The sequence below is a fragment of the Homo sapiens genome, chromosome 6 (assembly GCF_000001405.40).
Source record: "Homo sapiens chromosome 6, GRCh38.p14 Primary Assembly".
NCBI lineage: Eukaryota > Metazoa > Chordata > Mammalia > Primates > Hominidae > Homo > Homo sapiens.
Window position 1 is genome coordinate 115961764 of NC_000006.12, and position 20422 is coordinate 115982185.

The 20422-nt window shown below is 36.9% G+C and overlaps 1 protein-coding gene across 9 annotated transcripts in view; it reads right to left on the reverse strand.

Moving 5' to 3' along the window:
- The window catches only part of FRK (fyn related Src family tyrosine kinase), a 169577-nt gene that overhangs the window by 30615 nt on the left and 118540 nt on the right, over positions 1-20422 (reverse strand). For all 9 annotated transcript variants that reach the window (XM_011535656.3, XM_011535655.3, XM_011535654.3 and 6 more), the window contains 2 exons: positions 6813-6976; positions 5788-5956 (listed from right to left, as the gene is read on the reverse strand). In XM_011535656.3, coding sequence (XP_011533958.1) covers positions 5788-5956; positions 6813-6976 — 333 coding nt within the window. The remainder of the gene's footprint in view (positions 1-5787; positions 5957-6812; positions 6977-20422) is intronic.

A 20422-nucleotide genomic window follows, 5' to 3' on the forward strand; every position in this document is an offset into this window, starting at 1 on the left:
TTCAACCCAGAATTTCATATCCAGCCAAACTAAGCTTCATAAGTGAAGGAGAAATAAAATACTTTATAGACAAGCAAATGCTGAGAGATTTTGTCACCACCAGGCCTGCCCTAAAAGAGCTCCTGAAGGAAGCGCTAAACATGGAAAGGAACAACCGGTACCAGCCGCTGCAAAATCATGCCAAAATGTAAAGACCATCGAGACTAGGAAGAAACTGCATCAACTAACGAGCAAAATCACCAGCTAACATCATAATGACAGGATCAAATTCACACATAACAATATTAACTTTAAATATAAATGGAGTAAATTCTGCAATTAAAAGACACAGACTGGCAAGTTGGATAAAAAGTCAAGACCCATCAGTGTGCTGTATTCAGGAAACCCATCTCACGTGCAGAGACACACATAGGCTCAAAATAAAAGGATGGAGGAAGATCTACCAAGCCAATGGAAAACAAAAAAAGGCAGGGGTTGCAATCCTAGTCTCTGATAAAACAGACTTTAAACCAACAAAGATCAAAAGAGACAAAGAAGGCCATTACATAATGGTAAAGGGATCAATTCAACAAGAGAGGCTAACTATCCTAAATATTTATGCACCCAATACAGGAGCACCCAGATTCATAAAGCAAGTCCTGAGTGACCTACAAAGAGACTTAGACTCCCACACATTAATAATGGGAGACTTTAACACCCCACTGTCAACATTAGACAGATCCATGAGACAGAAAGTCAACAAGGATACCCAGGAATTGAACTCAGCTCTGCACCAAGCGGACCTAATAGACATCTACAGAACTCTCCACCCCAAATCAACAGAATATACATTTTTTTCAGCACCACACCACACCTATTCCAAAATTGACCACATAGTTGGAAGTAAAGCTCTCCTCAGCAAATGTAAAAGAACAGAAATTATAACAAACTATCTCTCAGACCACAGTGCAATCAAACTAGAACTCAGGATTAAGAATCTCACTCAAAGCCGCTCAACTACATGGAAACTGAACAACCTGCTCCTGAATGACTACTGGGTACATAACGAAATGAAGGCAGAAATAAAGATGTTCTTTGAAACCAACGAGAACAAAGACACCACATACCAGAATCTCTGGGACGCATTCAAAGCAGTGTGTAGAGGGAAATTTATAGCACTAAATGCCCACAAGAGAAAGCAGGAAAGATCCAAAATTGACACCCTAACATCACAATTAAAAGAACTAGAAAAGCAAGAGCAAACACATTCAAAAGCTAGCAGAAGGCAAGAAATAACTAAAATCAGAGCAGAACTGAAGGAGATAGAGACACAAAAAAACCTTCAAAAAATCAATGAATCCAGGAGCTGGTTCTTTGAAAGGATCAACAAAATTGATAGACCGCTAGCAAGACTAATAAAGAAAAAAAGAGAGAAGAATCAAATAGACACAATAAAAAATGATAAAGGGGATATCACCACCGATCCCACAGAAATACAAACTACCATCAGAGAATACTACAAACACCTCTACGCAAATAAACTAGAAAATCTAGAAGAAATGGATAAATTCCTCAACACATACACTCTCCCAAGACTAAACCAGGAAGAAGTTGAATCTCTGAATAGACCAATAACAGGCTCTGAAATTGTGGCAATAATCAATAGTTTACCAACCAAAAAGAGTCCAGGACCAGATGGATTCACAGCCGAATTCTACCAGAGGTACAAGGAGGAACTGGTACCATTCCTTCTGAAACTATTCCAATCAATAGAAAAAGAGGGAATCCTCCCTAACTCATTTTATGAGGCCAGCATCATTCTGATACCAAAGCCAGGCAGAGACACAACCAAAAAAGAGAATTTTAGACCAATATCCTTGATGAATATTGATGCAAAAATCCTCAATAAAATACTGGCAAACCGAATCCAGCAGCACATCAAAAAGCTTATCCACCATGATCAAGTGGGCTTCATCCCTGGGATGCAAGGCTGGTTCAATATACGCAAATCAATAAATGTAATCCAGCATATAAACAGAGCCAAAGACAAAAACCACATGATTATCTCAATAGATGCAGAAAAAGCCTTTGACAAAATTCAACAACCCTTCATGCTAAAAACTCTCAATAAATTAGGTATTGATGGGACGTATTTCAAAATAATAAGAGCTATCTATGACAAACCCACAGCCAATATCATACTGAATGGGCAAAAACTGGAAGCATTACCTTTGAAAACTGGCACAAGACAGGGATGCCCTCTCTCACCACTCCTATTCAACATAGTGTTGGAAGTTCTGGCCAGGGCAATCAGGCAGGAGAAGGAAATAAAGGGTATTCAATTAGGAAAAGAGGAAGTCAAATTGTCCCTGTTTGCAGACGACATGATTGTTTATCTAGAAAACCCCATTGTCTCAGCCCAAAATCTCCTTAAGCTGATAAGCAACTTCAGCAAAGTCTCAGGATACAAAATCAATGTACAAAAATCACAAGCATTCTTATACACCAACAACAGACAAGCAGAGAGCCAAATCATGAGTGAACTCCCATTCACAATTGCTTCAAAGAGAATAAAATACCTAGGAATCCAACTTACAAGGGATGTGAAGGACCTCTTCAAGGAGAACTACAAACCACTGCTCAAGGAAATAAAAGAGGACACAAACAAATGGAAGAACATTCCATGCTCATGGGTAGGAAGAATCAATATCGTGAAAATGGCCATACTGCCCAAGGTAATTTACAGATTCAATGCCATCCCCATCAAGCTACCAATGACTTTCTTCACAGAATTGGAAAAAACTACTTTAAAGTTCATATGGAACCAAAAAAGAGCCCGCATCACCAAGTCAATCCTAAGCCAAAAGAACAAAGCTGGAGGCATCACACTACCTGACTTCAAACTATACTACAAGGCTACAGTAACCAAAACAGCATGGTACTGGTACCAAAACAGAGATATAGATCAATGGAACAGAACAGAGCCCTCAGAAATAATGCCGCATATCTACAACTATCTGATCTTTGACAAACCTGAGAAAAACAAGCAATGGGGAAAGGATTCCCTATTTAATAAATGGTGCTGGGAAAACTGGCTAGCCATATGTAGAAAGCTGAAACTGGATCCCTTCCTTACACCTTATACAAAAATCAATTCAAGATGGATTAAAGATTTAAACGCTAGACCTAAAACCATAAAAACCCTAGAAGAAAACCTAGGCATTACCATTCAGGACATAGGCGTGGGCAAGGACTTCATGTCCAAAACATCAAAAGCAATGGCAACAAAAGCCAAAATTGACAAATGGGATCTAATTAAACTAAAGAGCTTCTGCACAGCAAAAGAAACTACCATCAGAGTGAACAGGCAACCTACAACATGGGAGAAAATTTTCGCAACCTACTCATCTGACAAAGGGCTAATATCCAGAATCTATAATGAACTCAAACAAATTTACAAGAAGAAAACAAACAACCCCATCAAAAAGTGGGCGAAGGACATGAACAGACACTTCTCAAAAGAAGACATTTATGCAGCCAAAAAACACATGAAAAAATGCTCATCATCACTGGCCATCAGAGAAATGCAAATCAAAACCACTATGAGATATCATCTCACACCAGTTAGAATGGCAATCATTAAAAAGTCAGGAAACAACAGGTGCTGGAGAGGATGTGGAGAAATAGGAACACTTTTACACTGTTGGTGGGACTGTAAACTAGTTCAACCATTGTGGAAGTCAGTGTGGCGATTCCTCAGGGATCTAGAACTAGAAATACCATTTGACCCAGCCATCCCATTACTGGGTATATACCCAAATGACTATAAATCATGCTGCTATAAAGACACATGCACACGTATGTTTATTGCGGCATTATTCACAATAGCAAAGACTTGGAACCAACCCAAATGTCCAACAATGATAGACTGGATTAAGAAAATGTGGCACATATACACCATGGAATACTATGCAGCCATAAAAAATGATGAGTTCATGTCCTTTGTAGGGACATGGATGAAATTGGAAACCATCATTCTCAGTAAACTATCGCAAGAACAAAAAACCAAACACCGCATATTCTCACTCATAGGTGGGAATTGAACAATGAGATCACATGGACACAGGAAGGGGAATATCACACTCTGGGGACTGTGGTGGGGTCGGGGGAGGGGGGAGGGATAGCATTGGGAGATATACCTAATGCTAGATGACACGTTAGTGGGTGCAGCGCACCAGCATGGCACATGTATACATATGTAACTAACCTGCACAATGTGCACATGTACCCTAAAACTTAAAGTATAATAAAAAAAAAATTAAAAAAAAAAAGAAATACTTAAAAAAAAAAGAAGTATTTATCTTAACAATTTAATAGCCATTTGAAAAAGTAACACAGGTAAATTGAAAGGAAAACATAATTCTTCACTTAATTCTTAACTACAAGTGCTTACTAAAGTGATATATGCATCCCTGGGACACTGCACAATTTCTCCAATCTTAGAATCAGATGAAGCACTGCTACCCCCATTTTCTGGTCCATATTGATTTTTGTGTGGATTTTGCATTTGACCATAGCAACTATCAAAAACCCAGCTTCACAAAGATATGATGTCAACAAAAGGAATGTTGTTCTAAAGTTGAAACTATGAACTACTTCAAGGTAGCAGCTTGTACAATATTCAGGATGTTGACTTCAAAACTTTTAAGTATTCCACAGCACTCTTGTGAATTCACCATGGTGCCCCCATGAGCCTTGGCACACAGTTTGGGAACCATGGTGTTACCCTATGCTGCTAGCCAACAAATCCCAAGAGCTCAAGTTCTGCCACCAGGAGGTTTACCAAACCTCTAAGAATTCTGGGCTAGGTAAATAATGCAGGTCTCCCAGAAAACTACAATCTAGCCTATGTTGATTATTCTTACCTCTGTTATAAAGGTATATATGAGGCTACTATAGCAATGTTGCACTTTTATAGACTGTCACTTCCATGGAGCGTGAGGCAATAGTAATAAATGTGAGTTCAAATCCCAGCTATGCCATTTACTGACTTTTTCCTTATTATAATAATAGTTTTTATCCATCACTTACTGTGAACCAGGCACTATACAAAGCATGTCCACTAATGACCTAATTTATCTTCTCTGTTGGCCTTATTATTATCTCTATTTTACAAATGACAAAACTGAAGCATAGAGTTCAAAAATTTGCTCAAGATCATATGACCAGAAATATTTGGAAAGTTACTTAGTCCCTCTTTAAAATGGAGGGAATAAAGCCTGGCTGAATAAATACTGATTTCAGTATAATTTTACTTGCCATCACAGGAAAAAGGAAGATGGAAGGGAAAAAAAGTTCCTACATTTTCAAATACAAGTTTCTTTAGATGGACCATTTTGCCTTTTAACCATACAAAATTAATACTTTTAAAAATAGTTGTTCCCTGAATAGTATCAAGATTCCTTCTGATTTTTTAAATATTTTCAGCTAAGTCAATATCTTTTAACTAAGGCTAGGAACAAAATGGGAAGAAGGACATTGGAAGACTGAATCCTAATTCAGAGAAGAGATGAGTTGTCAGACTCTTCAATCAGCGATATTTTAAGACTCAGCTGAACCAGGAAGTGTGTTCTTGTTTTTATATTTTAATGCCTTATCCATAGGTTGGGGTCACCTGGGCTAGAGACAATGACCACAACACCTGCTTGCTGCCAGTATTAGCCACCCTATGACCTCTTAGATATTTACAGTGTTAAATTGAGCTCATAAAAATCAACATATGCCATTTAACCTTTATTGTTCTCGCACCTGGTTTTAATGTTTTCACTGCTACTGGAGTGGTATTGTTCCACAGACCTTCCCATACTTCGCCAAACTGACCAGATCCCAATCGCTTCAGAAGCTGTATGGAGTTGCGGTCTATCTCCCATTGGTCCACGGTTTTATACGACAAATCAAATGGAGCTGGGACCTGGATCTGTTTCATAGAATAATAAGAGCAATTGTTAAAAAAAAAAAAGTAGATTTAATATTATTTTGTTGAAAATAATAGTCTAGGTACTTTTAAATAAAACTTCTTAAAACAAAATATTGTAAACTGTATTATAATTACTTCAAAAACAAAAAGTATGGTGGGAGAATCTGCATTTGTTAACTCTTCAAATTGATCTTCCAGATCTTGGGAAGTCAGGCACCTCGTTGTCTACCTGTCTGATCCCATACCTAATGCCATCCTCACTCAGGTCTGGAATGACTTCTCCCTACCTCTTCGCCTAGCTAAATCCTCTCAGTTTCAAGGCCCAGCTGAAGTTCCCTCTCACCCACAAATCCTTCCCAAATTCTTTGGCTATAGTTTTATTATATGTATCACCTATTTTTGCATAATTAAATGTTTTATATTTTTCAAACTCATTTTTTCATTTCTTTATTTGTTCATTCATTTAGTTACTCATTCATTTAGTAAGTAAAATTGTTTTAAGAATTGACTAGGTTCTTTTCTATAAACAAAACAAGCAAGACCCCTGCCTTCCTAGAACTCATATTCTAGTTTACCACCTGCCCTATGGTCTCCGTTGCACCTTCTAAACTCTGCTGTTATGGCACAAAAGAATCCAAAGAAAACTCATATATGAATGAGCATCTGTGCAAATAAAACTTATTTACAAAAACAAGCATACGTCAGTGTGAGCTCATAGGCCATGGTTTGCCTATACCCGCCTGAGGTAATAAAATGACAATTTTTTTCCTGAACTGATATTCCATGAAAAATACTCAGATATCTGAAGGAAAAAAGTTAACTTCAATAAAAAAACACAGCTTGAAAGCATTTTCACCTTTAAGCATGGTTTCCCCAGCTTGACACACAGGCCGTCACTTGTCTTGGTGTAGTGGCTCACAAATTCGTTCAGTGTTGAAAAGATTCTTCTTCGCGTGAGAAAAAATCCCCCTTCATCCAGTCTTTTAATTCTGTAGTGTTTTACAACTGCTCCATCTAAAACTGGAACCCAAAATAATTCCTGTTAATAAACTTCTTGCTAAAACCAAGCAGATTTATTTACTTTGTGGTGACATTTTCAATGCATAAAATGAAATCTATATAAAATTATATGTGTTTCTCAACTTTGTCTCAGAAAAGATTTAAGAAAGTTTACAAAGGATATAGAACAAAAGAGAGAGTGTGAGAACTGGGAAACAATACTGAAGGAAATAGAAAAATAAAGGGGTGAGGCTAGCACTAAAAGAATCCATGCTTCAAAGCCTAGTATACTTGATTAAAACAAGCCATAAAATTGACTCTATCACTCTAGCAATGCAAAGAAGGACACCTTACCATTTTGAGGAATCACAGTATCCATAAGATAAAATCATGAAAGGTTTTTAGAAACAGTTTGACTCTTCCTGGTGCAGAGACCAGGGAGAAATTTCTCCCATGAAATCCTATAATGTGGCTTTGGAAATAAACAGTGTGCTCAATACCGTCTTACAATAATGCATGAAATTCCACAGGACTGTTCATTATATTGTACCTCAATGCAGACTGGTAACAGAATGCCCTAACACAGTTCAATAAAAGCAATTCCACAGAGCCTAAAATGATGCAGTCCACACATGCAACGTTCTAGCAGTATTGCTTCATCCAAGGGTAAGTCCTGTAGGACCTACAGGAATAACTAAACCGTGTTACTTTGACCTAGTCTGGCTTGCAGTGGCTATTTTGTTACTGTTGCCGCCCACCTACCATTGACCCTTCTTCTGTTAACAGCACCCCCAGTTTTCCTCAGAGAATTGTTGTTTCTCTGAAAGCGTGTGGTCCAGAGGGACCTGGTAGCCACCTGGAGCCGAAGAAGACATAATTAGTGCAATAAGAACCAAGGAACCCCAATTCCGGGACTTAATAGTTCCAGAAAGACAGGAAGAGTTTTGTTGCTGTGGCTGTTGTTTTGGTTTTGGTTTACTGATGGGAGTTTGGAGCTATTGACAGAATCCTGGCCTCCAGACAGGAAGCAAGCTTGCCTGAGAAGAGAAGCAGCCCAGTGGGAGGCAGTCTTGATTTGGAAAGTGAAGCTTAATCCCAGGAGCCAGCCAAGCCTGGCTTTTCAGCTACAAGAGTCAATTAATTACCTTTTTGGTTAAACTATTTTGAATAGGGATTTCTGCACTTACATTCAAAATATTGACTAATGCACTTTATACCTATGCTTTCACTTAGCAAAGTTGTTGATAAGTATTGGGCAGCATTTATCACCAGAATGCTATTCTGCATTCCTTGCTAAATATATAACTTTATGCTTCAATGATTAGTCAGGCTGGTGCAATGCTCTTATGATAGGAAAGAAGACATCCCACTTCCCATATGGAGGTTTACTGAGGGCATGCCAATAGCTAGGAATTTTTTTTTTTTTCAAAAACAGGAATTGGCACACACCAGAAAAGCTAAAATGAAAAAAGTATTAACAAGGAAGTGGAGTGACTTCCCACACACAGTTGATGGAAGAGTAATTTTTACCACCACTCTGGAAAACTGTTTTTCCTTATCTACTAGAGTTGAACACAGTCATACATGTCATACAGTAATTCCACTCCTAAGCATAAAATCAATAAAAGTGCACAATATATTCACCAAAACATGTGTTTAAGAATGTTTTTAGTTGCCTGATTTGTAAGGGTTCAAACCTGGAAACAATCCAAATGTTCATCAACACATAAATAGAACTATCCAAATGTTTATCAACTAAAAAACAATTGAATTAGCTAAAAAATTGTCATCTAGTGGAATGCAAATTTGTAAATAAACAAAAACTGCAGCTACACATAACAAAGTGAATGAATCTCGCAAACTCAAATATATAGTCTCATTATTAAAAAGCAAGGCTAAGCTGGGCGTGGTGGCTCACGCCTTTAGTCACAGCATCTGGGGAGGTTGAGATGGAAGAATTGCTTGAGGCTAGGTCTGCAAGCCAGTCTACGCAATGGTGGCAGACCCTGTCTCAACAAAAAATAATAATAATAATTGTTTTTAAATTAGCCAGGATTGGTGGCACACACCTGTAGTCACAGCTACTTGGGAAGCTGAGGCAGGAGGATCACTTCAGCCCAGAAGGTCAAGGCTGCAGAGAGTTATGATCGATTGTGCCACTATACTCAAGTCCAGCCTGGGCAACAGAACAAGACTGTCTCTAAAATAAGTAAATAAATAAATATCAAAAACAAGCAAAACTATTGATATGAGGGGTCAGTGACTGGGACGTTAACCTTATTCTGTTTCTTAACTTGGTGCTGGTTACCTGGATGAATTCACTTTGTACTCACCAAACTAAATTTTTATGAATTGTGTACTTTTATTATGTGTATCACACTTCAATTTAAAAGAATACTTTTAAAATGTCAGTGTTTTGCTTCTCTTTATGAACAAATGGGGAATCGAGTCTCCAAACTGCTATATTATGGTTCATGCTGTATTATTTCAGTATGGAAGGTTATTAAAGTAAATGTTACCTAATTTTCACCCTGGGTATAAAAATTCTCAGTAACATACACGTAGAATATTAACTTTAAGCAAATAAGTTTTCTAGTAAGCACTGTGAGAAACCTGGCTACAAAATGCCCTCCTAAATAACTGAGTTGACTTGCACTATAGGAGTATTTGCTATAAGCCAGAAAAATGCAAGGAAATATCAAACAAAAATCAAGACTTTAGGTGTACAACACTGAATTTGAAGGTAACCTTTCTAACACAGCATCAACCACAATAATGCAAACAATACACAGAAAAGCACAACTAATAATTAAAGCCTACACCTTTCATGTTCTTCCCAGTGGTCTTTAATTTGTAGTCTGTGAGAATAACACTCCCCTGTCCCTAGATGAAAGCTCCAGCAAAGTTTTTCTGCCCACTTTTAGGTATTAGACAGTCTTACTTCCACTTAAAATCACAAACAGTGTCTCAATTCAAGCCTAGATGCCCAGTCCCAGATGATAACCAAAACACTCTACTGCTACGTGATCAGATGTCGAATCTTCTCTCCTTCCCCAGCTCGGTCTGGCCCGCTTCAGGCAAAAGGCAGCAGTGGAAACATGGTATGGGTGCCTTCCTCTCTGTTTCTCTACTATAGCTGCTCCTCCACTTTTCCTTCCCAGCTGGGCTCTGAGCATCCAGACTAAGAGCAGAGAGAAGAGGGAGTAAAGAAGGAGAAGGCCACACTCAGTCAACTTCCCACTCCGAGCCTGCTGGCAGAAACTGAAGCTGACTCCTCTCTGGGACACTCATGCAGGCCCTTTGGGGCTTCCCTGTCTCTAAAGGAACCCTCACTGCAGCTGCTAAGATGCAGACATTTCTAGGATGCCTGCACCCAATTGCCTCTCAGCTTCTGTTTCCTGGGCAGTTCTCCCACCACATTCTCCCTTATAGGTCTCCTCTTATCCTCCAGCAGAAGCTTTCCTGGGCAAAACCCAAAACTCCTCCAGACTGTCCATCTACAGTGCCATGGCACTTTTGCTCATTAGGAGACCCACTTATGGTCCTGAGATAATATTTACACATCCCTTGCCCTGACAATTACTAGGAGGAGAGAGAAGCTGGTGCCCTAAGTTACCTCTATCCTACTTCCACAGGATGCTTTCACCTTCTCAACCTGAGTCAGGCACCTGTGTTCTATCCTCCCAACTGCAGAGGGTGGAGAGTTAGCTCTCAGAGTGGCCTTCCTGAAGCACCCTCTCACTAGGTTTGGGGTCCCATTCATTAGCCCAGGAATAAAGGGGGTTCCATAGTGTGCCAACAGCTTTCTTCAAAAGCAAAATGCCATCAGCAAATTCTTCCTCCATTCCACTCCTTGTATCCTTTCTAAATTATTAACAAGCTGAGAGATCCAAGAACAGCCATACCTATCTTTGACCAATTCCTTTGTCAACTGTGAGTATGGAGATCTGACTTTGAACTTCTACTTCTATTGTGTCTTAATAACCTCAATCAAAAACTCCATTTTAACATTGTTATATTCACATGTATTGACCCAAACACCATGCTAAGCATGATTTTACATTATTTTGTTGTAATCTTTTAACAGTCATATAAGGTAGTTATTAGGTCCATTTTACTACTCATAAAAGTCAGTAGATGGCACTGCCAGGATTCAACTTGGGGCCTTGTGACTCTAAGACGCTCTATAACCAGCAGATTTCACACAGCAGATCTAAATGTCTAAGAAGACACACCTCCAGTTCACGACAATAATATTATGTCATCTGTGTTCAGGAAAATGTGTTACTTTCAGCAGTGATATCATTCATTAATTTTAATGTTTTCCTTTACATTAAAATACAAAAGGCAAGAGTCCATTTAGTTCCTTCAAGAGCAATATCATTTTCTTAAACTTTTTTGTGTATCTGGAACACATCCTTGCACTCTGATTTGTCAAGCTACCATTCCTACTGGCTATGACTCTTAGGCCAGTGTTAATTGCCCTATATAATAATCATCAAATAGAGGACTTCTATCAGGATATAGAGCTTAGCTCATAATATATTCCTGAAGCTGGAAACCATCATTCTCAGCAAAATAACACAAGAACAGAAAACCAAACACCGCATGTTCTCACTCATAAATGGGAGTTGAACAATGAGAACACATGGACACAGGGAGGGGAGCATCACACACTGGGGCCTGTTGGGGGATGTGGGATTAAGGGTGGGATAGCATTAGGAGAAATACCGAATGTAGATGATGGTTGATGGGTGCAGCAAACCACCATGGCACGCGTATACTTATGTAACAAATCTGCACATGCTACACATGTATCCCAGAACTTAAAGTATAATGTTTAAAAATTTTTAAAAAAAGCCAACAAAGGGCTGGGCATGGTGGCTCATGCCTGTAATCCCAGCACTTTGGGAGGCCAAGGTGGGCAGATCACTTGAGGACAGGAGTTCAAGACCAGCCTGGCCAATATGGCAAAACCCCATCTCTACTAAAAATAGAAAAAATTAGCCGGGTGTGTTGGCATGTGCCTGTAATCCCAGCTACTCAGGAGGCTGAGGCAGGAGAATTGCTTGAACCCGGGAGGCAGAGGTTGCAGTGAGCCAAGATTGTGCCACTGCAATTCAGCCTGGGCAACAGAGCGAGACACAGTCTCAGAAAAAAAAAAAAAAGCCAACAAAAAGTCAAAGACAGCTGTAAACAATATCATGTTAGTCCCAATTCATTTCTCCACAAAGTTATAAAAATATAAGAAGTAGAAGGATATCTAAATATAAAATATACTTGCTATTTACATAAATTCTTGGCCTACATGTTCAAGCCTTGACATCTATCAAAAAGAGAAGTCCATAAATTAAAGCTGAGATGTCTAGCAAGCCAATAGGTCTGTAATTGGAAATGATGGGAAGCAATAAAAAGAATTTCCCTTATATAAACAAGATGAACTATCTACTAGTTCCAAATTGAAATGGACTACGTGGAAATTAAACACAAACTTACAAATTCCTTCATAGTGCACCACAAAAGATCTAATAGTCTCCAAGCTAGAGACTAAAGTAAATAGATGGCAGAGGGGTTAAAGTGTGCTTTGTGATTTTCTTAATAAGAGATGCAAATCACAGTGATAAATATGGCTTTGGAGATTGCTACCGATTATATAAAGAAAGCCTAAATAAATATTTGCCAGATCTTTATGATGCAGGTTTAAATTTTCAACTGTAAAACCCAATGCTTGGCAATAGCACCTAGAGTTTTCAAGCACAAAGAGAGGTATTTTGCTTAACGGAAAAAGCAACAGACTAGGAAATGGCAGACCCAGGTTAAAATTTAATTAGTATATAACCAAAAACATGTCAGTCTCATGGGCCTTGATTTCTTTATTATTAAAATAAAAGAGTAGGCTTTTTAAAAAAATCTCCAAATTTCCAAATGTTTCCATCTTAGCATTCAAAGATTTCTGAAGACCATTGCTTTCTCTCCCTAAATTCTGATCTGTTTGCGTAGTCCTTTCATAAAACTTTAGTAATTCTTACCTTGGAGCTTTTGAACCCCATTTGAATGCTTTTCCTGTGAATCTTCTAGAATCTGGCCCCTTCCTTTCCTCTCAATTTAAATCCTCAGAGCCAGCCTTCTCTATCCACTCGAGCTCCTCCTTTCTATCACATAAACCTGTTTAATTGTGATACTATTTATCACAGTAGAATTATCTCTGTGAGGGCAGGGGCTCTGCTGTCTTCATCCAATAAATAGAGGTTGGCTCAGAGTAATCACTAATATAAACATCTACTAAATGAATGAATGATATCACTAACTCTTGTATTTTAAGTGAAATATAAATTTCTGAGATGTCTGCTGCAATATTAAATAGGTAATTATGGCAATACTTTCGGGACTTACAAGACTTCCCTGCAATCTTATTTTAAAATGGCAAAAATAAAAAAAACCAACCTCAGGATATAAACACTACTAGAGAATAGTCATTCAAGTCAATATCTAATTTCTTGATTTTTAAAATATAATGCAGAATTTTTTTTTCATCTCTTACTGGCATCATGAGCATTTATATATGGTTCCTTCAAGTTTTCAATCTCAACAAAACTGGAAGATATGTATTATTTAAAAATAAGACAACAAAAGCTACATCAGGAAAATTCAATACATTGTAGCCAGGATGAAGGCACTTTTAATATTGCATATATTCATAAATAATCAAATACAGAATACGAACTGTTTTTTAAAAGTATTTTCATCTGTTAGTGGTGAGTTCATATGCTTGCAAATTGTCGTTCTTAATGAAGGTTGAATTCAGGTGTCTCAGAACCAGAGAGAAATGAATTTTCTATTCCTTTCCTGGCTTGTGATCTTTATTATTGAACTGAGCCTATTCCATTTCCTACAGACTATAAGTGAATGCTTGTGCCATTCTTTTTGTGAAATACTATGAGTTCATACTAGTTAAGTATTTTAGTAGTTCAGCTGCAAAAAATATATAAGATTAACTAAAATAAACTGGAATCATCCATCAATAAAGTTGCTGGCATTATGATTGAACTCAGCTAAAAGATCAAAGATCCTGAGTTTACATGTTGTTTGACCTAGGGAGAAATGTTTCACCTGTCAACTGATGAATCTAGCAGAACATGTCGAAGAATTAGGACATATTGTGGAGACGTGGGTAAGTATGTATCAGGAATACAATAAATGTTGGTTGCATGTTGAAAGAACTCAGTTATTCTGCACGTTAACTTCTATATGGACTATACCACCGGTCACCTGATTATTTGGCAACCCTCACATCCAGAGTAACTGGTTCGGGAGAGGATCTATGAGATCTAGTTGGGGTCTGATGATTTCCGTCCTATTTGCCAAACCCAAGTGCATTTATGTAATATATAGTTGGTGACAGATATAGAAGCCCAGCTTTCTTCTAACATGGTAAGGTCTTATTTTGCAGTCCTTTCATAAAACTTCAGTAATTTTCACCTTGGAGCCTTTGAGGTAGAAAAGGGTTTCTCTGCCACTATATAAAAGAATACTGTGAGATTTTATCATAAAGCACTTTCAAAGAACTCTGCCCCAATTCTACCCCACACAGGTAACATATTATTCAGAACATATTAAACTATTATGAAATTCAGGATATTCCAAAATTAGATTTTTAAAAGACAGAAATTCCAGAAACTAAGTTTGGAATATAACATAAACATAAAGTCAGAGGCTGTGTCTGCAAGACACAAAGACGTCAAGTCGGCTCAGTGAAAAACATTGGTATAACAATTAGTTTGGTGTTTTACAGAAAAACAAATGGTTGATTGTGCAGATTTTTGTTTTTCAGCTGGTCTTCTGGCATCATCTGGGCATAGCCTTATTCCTACTGACTGATAATAATCTCTTCCCATACTGAGTAAAACAATATGACTTCATTGATTGAGCAAAGGAATGAAAATCAAGAACTCACTCCCCTAATCTTATTCTGCCAGTGATTTGTTCTCTGACCTTAGGCAAGGAATTTCATTTCAGTTTCCTTATCTAGAAAATGAGAATAATGATCTTATCTATATACTCCCACAGGGATAGTTTGAGTGTCATTGTTCACAAAGGATGATAGATATTTCTAATGTACAATGTGTGAATACTGTATCACAATATCAGTATTGTCAAATAGCATTGTCAACAAAAGAGAGGCAGTTCCAAAGTAATATTTTCTACTCCTTACAGAGTAATGGCAACTTAACATAGTGGCTACCAAGCATATTAAGCTAAGAAATTGCTATTAATTCTGTGTGCAAAAACTCCTGCACTTGTAAACTCCTGTTTATTTCGTTTGTTTTTAGATTTGTTTATACTTTTCAAAACCATTACAAAGACAACCATGATGATTCTCCCTATACCACTGCCTCAGAAATCATGCTAAGATAGCTCTACACCAATAAGTGAATAACATTAATTGATTTGTTATGTTGTATCTCCCATTAAAACACAGTTCAAGACACATGCTAATGTTACACTGAATTCTCTTCTACAGCAAATAGAGTAGGATTCCAGCATGAATTATTTTGAGAGAAGAAAGTACATCTGTCTAAATTATTAAAGTGCCATCACGTAGAAGAGTTGTTCTCTCCTTTCCTGGGGAAAAATATCCACTAAGACCAAAGAGAACAAACACAGCTGATTCATTTTATGCATACAACTCAACCTATGGGTCTCAAAGGGCGCTTGGCTCCCAACCATGAAAATTCTGTGTGCTGCAGACATTGGTCAGTAAGTTTTACTGTTAAACTGTAGACTGAATTAGATCATGATCCATTAAGGAAGTGTCTATATTAGTTGACTCAAGAAAGCTTACCAAAAGAGCTTTTTGAGGATACATCTAATAGGTGCCAGGTCCTAGGGTCTATCAGGGTTGTTACTGGTCAAGAAGCCCAGCTGAGGTTACTTTATAGTTAGAGGCAATAATCAACAACTTTTGTAGGCAAAAATTAACTATCTCTTCCATATGGCATAGCATAGAAATTGTGAGCCTGAACCATACATTGGTTCAAATGCTGATCACATTTTTGAGAAAAATTAGTCTTATTCTAAAGACCCCAATAGTCCAATCCCTTATGGGAATAAACCAACTCCTTATCAAAACTGGCTATTAGGTGTTCAGTACAGTATGTCAATTTTATTGTTTATATATCCGGTATGTAAAGCAGATGAGTATCTTTTTAATTAACAATATATAATTGTAACATTCAATATTTTGCCAGCTAATTTAATTGAAAATTACAATTTCCCATGAAAAGTACAATTTCCCATGAAAACAGCATTTACAGCATCTCATATTGCAGAGAAATGCTCAGAGAAATAACTTGATTCTTTATTCCTCTTGGGACTCTAACTCCTCACTTGGTATTATATCTGCAATAAATCACCAGGAATTAACATACTTGGATTATATTATCCCAGTTTCCTACAGAAAATCTTTCACTGGGTAAAGATATAATGAGACATGAGACCCAGTGTATCTACTTTTCAAAACTTACTCTAAGGAAATAATCTAAATATTTACATGCATTTATTTAGTTATATCCCTACCTTGTTCTAAAAATGTCTGAAGGTTTGCATAAATTATAAAATGCCTCAAAATATAATAAAATTTAAAATAAGTAGATGAAGGAAATAAGACAAAAGGTAAAGAAAAGGACGATGACTCCAGGAACTTGCCTATTATGCTTTACATAGATATCTTCAGATGCCAATCCATGTTCAAGCGATGTGAGCCAGATTTGGCACTGTGCCTTTCTAGCGCTCACAGTAAAGAAGTAAACACATTCAGTTACCTAATTCCATGAAGAAAATATTAATAAACTATTAATAAAAACACATACACACACACAACTACAGTCATGTGCCAAATAAAGATGTTTCAGTCAACAACAGCCTGCATAAATGATGGTGGTTCCATAAGATTATAGTGGAGCTGAAAAATGCTATTGCCTAGTGACCTCATTGTGCTACCACTTGTAGCACAATGCATTATTACATGTTTGTTGTGTACAATACATAATATATGATAACAATAATTAATGACTATGTTACTGGTTTATGTATTTACTATGCTATATTTTTTGTTATTATTTGAGAGTGTACCCTACCAGCCTGGGCAACACAGTGAGACCTTATCTTTACAAAAAATGAACAAAATTATCTGAGTGTGGTGGCACATGCCTATAGTCCCAGCTACTCGGGAGGATGAAGTGGAAGGATCATCTGAGCCCAGGGAGGTCAAGGCTGCAGTGAGCCATGATCACACCACTGTACTCTAGCGTGGACAACAGAGTGAGACTCTGTCTCAAAAAAAAAAAAAAATACATGCAAAACAGACAGAGAGTATACTCTTTCTACTTATAAAAACATATTTAACTATAAAACAGCCTCAGGCAGGTTCTTCAGGAGCATTCCAGAAGAAAGCACTTTTATCATAGGAGAGGACAGCTCCATGGGTGTTATTGCCCCTAAAGACCTTCCAGTAGAACAAGGTGTGGATGTGGGAGATAGTGATATTGATGATCCTGACCCTGACTAGTCCAAAGGTCGTGTGTGTGTTTATGCCTTTGTTTTTGACAAAAAAAGTTTAAAAAGTAAAAAATAGAAGAATTTTAAAATAGAAAAAAGCTTATAAAGACACAACAAGAGAATATTTTTGTAGAGCTGTAAAATGTGTTTGTTTTACACTGTTATTACAAAAGAGTCAAAATATTTTTTAAAATTAAAAAATGTATAATGTAAAAAGTTATAGTAAGCTAAAGTTCATTTACCATTGAAAAAAGAAAAATATTTTTTATAAATCTGATGTAGTCTAACTGTACAATATTTATCATAAAGTACAATAACATCACAGGCCTTCACATTGACATCACAGGCCTTCACTGACACACCCAGGGTCCTGCAACTTGAGTCCTGCAAGTTACATTCATGGTTAGTTGCTTATACAGGTGTAACATTTCTAATATTTTAAACCATGTTGTTACTGTGTCGCTTATATGTTTAGATATAAATACACAAATACTATTGTGTTACAGTTGCTTACAGTATTCAGTTTAGGGACATGCTGTACAGGTTTGTAGCCTAGGAGCAATAGGCTATACCACAGAGCTTAAGTGTGTAGTAGGCTATAGCACCTAGGTTTGTGTGAGTACACTTGGTAATGTCCACACAATGGACTCACCTAATGGCACATTTCTCAGAACATATCCTGGTTGTTAAGTCATGCATGACTATATTTCTGATATTAAAATGAGAGAGAAATTTCTCACATTATGTCCTCATAAGGAAAACACAGAAAATACAATGAGCAATATCATCATTAACATTCTTAATAGTAAATACACTAATATATTGCAAAGAACTGACTCTTATAATGTCCATTAAGACGGACCAGTTACCAACAGGGAATTCAATAAAGGTATTTGTATGGGAAACTACAACAACACAGTTCACCACCCAGAAGAGGAAAAGCAATTTGCAAAGAATGTTCACTAGAGCATTTTTCTAGGATTAAATGACTGTTAAATTGTAGCAAATCTGAAAATTCAGAGTCGTTTTTAAAAATTATGTAATTGTAAAAATTATCTAGCAGCAAGAAAAATATGTAAAATGTATTAAGTGAAATGGTAGGATACAAAATTAAGAGAATATCATACGGAAACATGAGGATACATCTGGCAGCTCACGTGTCCTAGAGCCCTGTACTACTAAAGGAATCCAGCTGAGGTTCCTTGTGGAAACCATAATTGTATATGGGCAAAGATGATTAAATTTGCCAACATGAAAATAATTGTGTTAGATTGGCAGATTTGTGGATGTTTTACTCCCTCTGCTTTCCAAACCAACTGTAATAAAGTTATACTGCCTTTAAAATAAAAACATACACATAATGCTTCCAGCTTTTTTAGAAAAGCAGTATGAGAATTAACAACTTAAAGACAATGTCTGCACATTTTGCTGAAGACACTGTCTGGTATGATACTTGATATTCTTTCCATAAAGAACTCATGAACTCATTTCTCTTTGAACTTAATGCTTAAAATTATAATGTGTCTCCTCTTATACATAAGCCAGTGAGAAGCACAATGTGTTTCCCTTTTTGCCTTACCTGCCAGAGAACCCCTGGCTAAACTGATTTCTAAACTGTGATAATTATCTTCTGTTAGAGACTCAGCATGATCTATATCTCTGTTCTTTTTCATTGATTTTGTCTTTTTTATGTTTAGCTATATTTTATATTATGTTTCAGCATTATATGCTGACTTAAAACCTTTTGGAGATATATGGAAATACATGCACAAATGAAAAGATAATCAAATGACACGGCACACTTACTAAACATAAGAAAGAATTACTAAAGAACTGAACTGCCCAACAATAAAATAGGCTGATTCTCCAGGATTTTTGTTTATGGGAGCTTTGAAGCTTCGAATTATGAGAGATTCCTCAGCAAAGACAATACAGTAGTAGACTAGACATTCTTCACAACTTCTCTTATTCTATTAATGAAAAAGAAATGGAGAAAAGAGAATATGATATGTGAACTATCAGAAATTTTAAAGATGGTTTAATTTTTTTTCTTTTACTGATGAGAAAAACAAAATCTAGAGGTCTGAAGTACACCGTTAGTTGTTTTCAGAGCTGGAATCTAAGTCTAGCCATATGAGTGATAGTAGAAACAATAGAAACATTTAACCACTAATTTCCTATTTCTTGATCAAAGAAAAAAAGGTAAGAACTTATTATTTTCTCAGTAGGATGTTATATGTTCCAAAGCTTTCTGAGGGAAATCTTTCCCTTCTCTCTCAAAACTCTCCTAAAACTCTCAAAAAGCCTTCCCCATAATGAGGGAAAATCTCAGGACTCAATTCCTCTTCTCTTTTTCCCCACCCAATTTCAGCAATTAGTAGACATGTTGAACAGGGTAAACATGAAAGTCATACAGAAAGGTAACAAACGGTAATTAAAATACCTTGAAATCAATTTTTATCTCCTTTGGAAATACAAAGGAGTATTTTTTGTATTAGCTAATTTATTTTCATAGCAGATTACTGTATTTCATTTTTTCACCTTGTTTCTACATATGCAAGAAAACTATTGGTAATTTGATAATTATTAATTCTCATTTCTACAAGCAGATAGCTCTATTTCTTGGAAATTTCATCATATTTAATGAGGACCCATGCTGTTTATTTCAAACAAGGATTAGACAAAGGTTACTGTGATGGTTACTTTTATGTGTCAAATTGACTGAGCTAAGAAATGCCTTGATAGCTAGTAAAGTGTTATTTCTGGGAGTATCTGTGAAGATGTCTCCAGAAGAGATTAGCATTTGAATTAGTAAAGAAGATCTTCCCTCATCAATGTGGGCCAGCATCCTACAATCCACTGAGGCCCTGAATAGAACAAAAAAGGTAGGATGGGCAACTTCACTCTCTC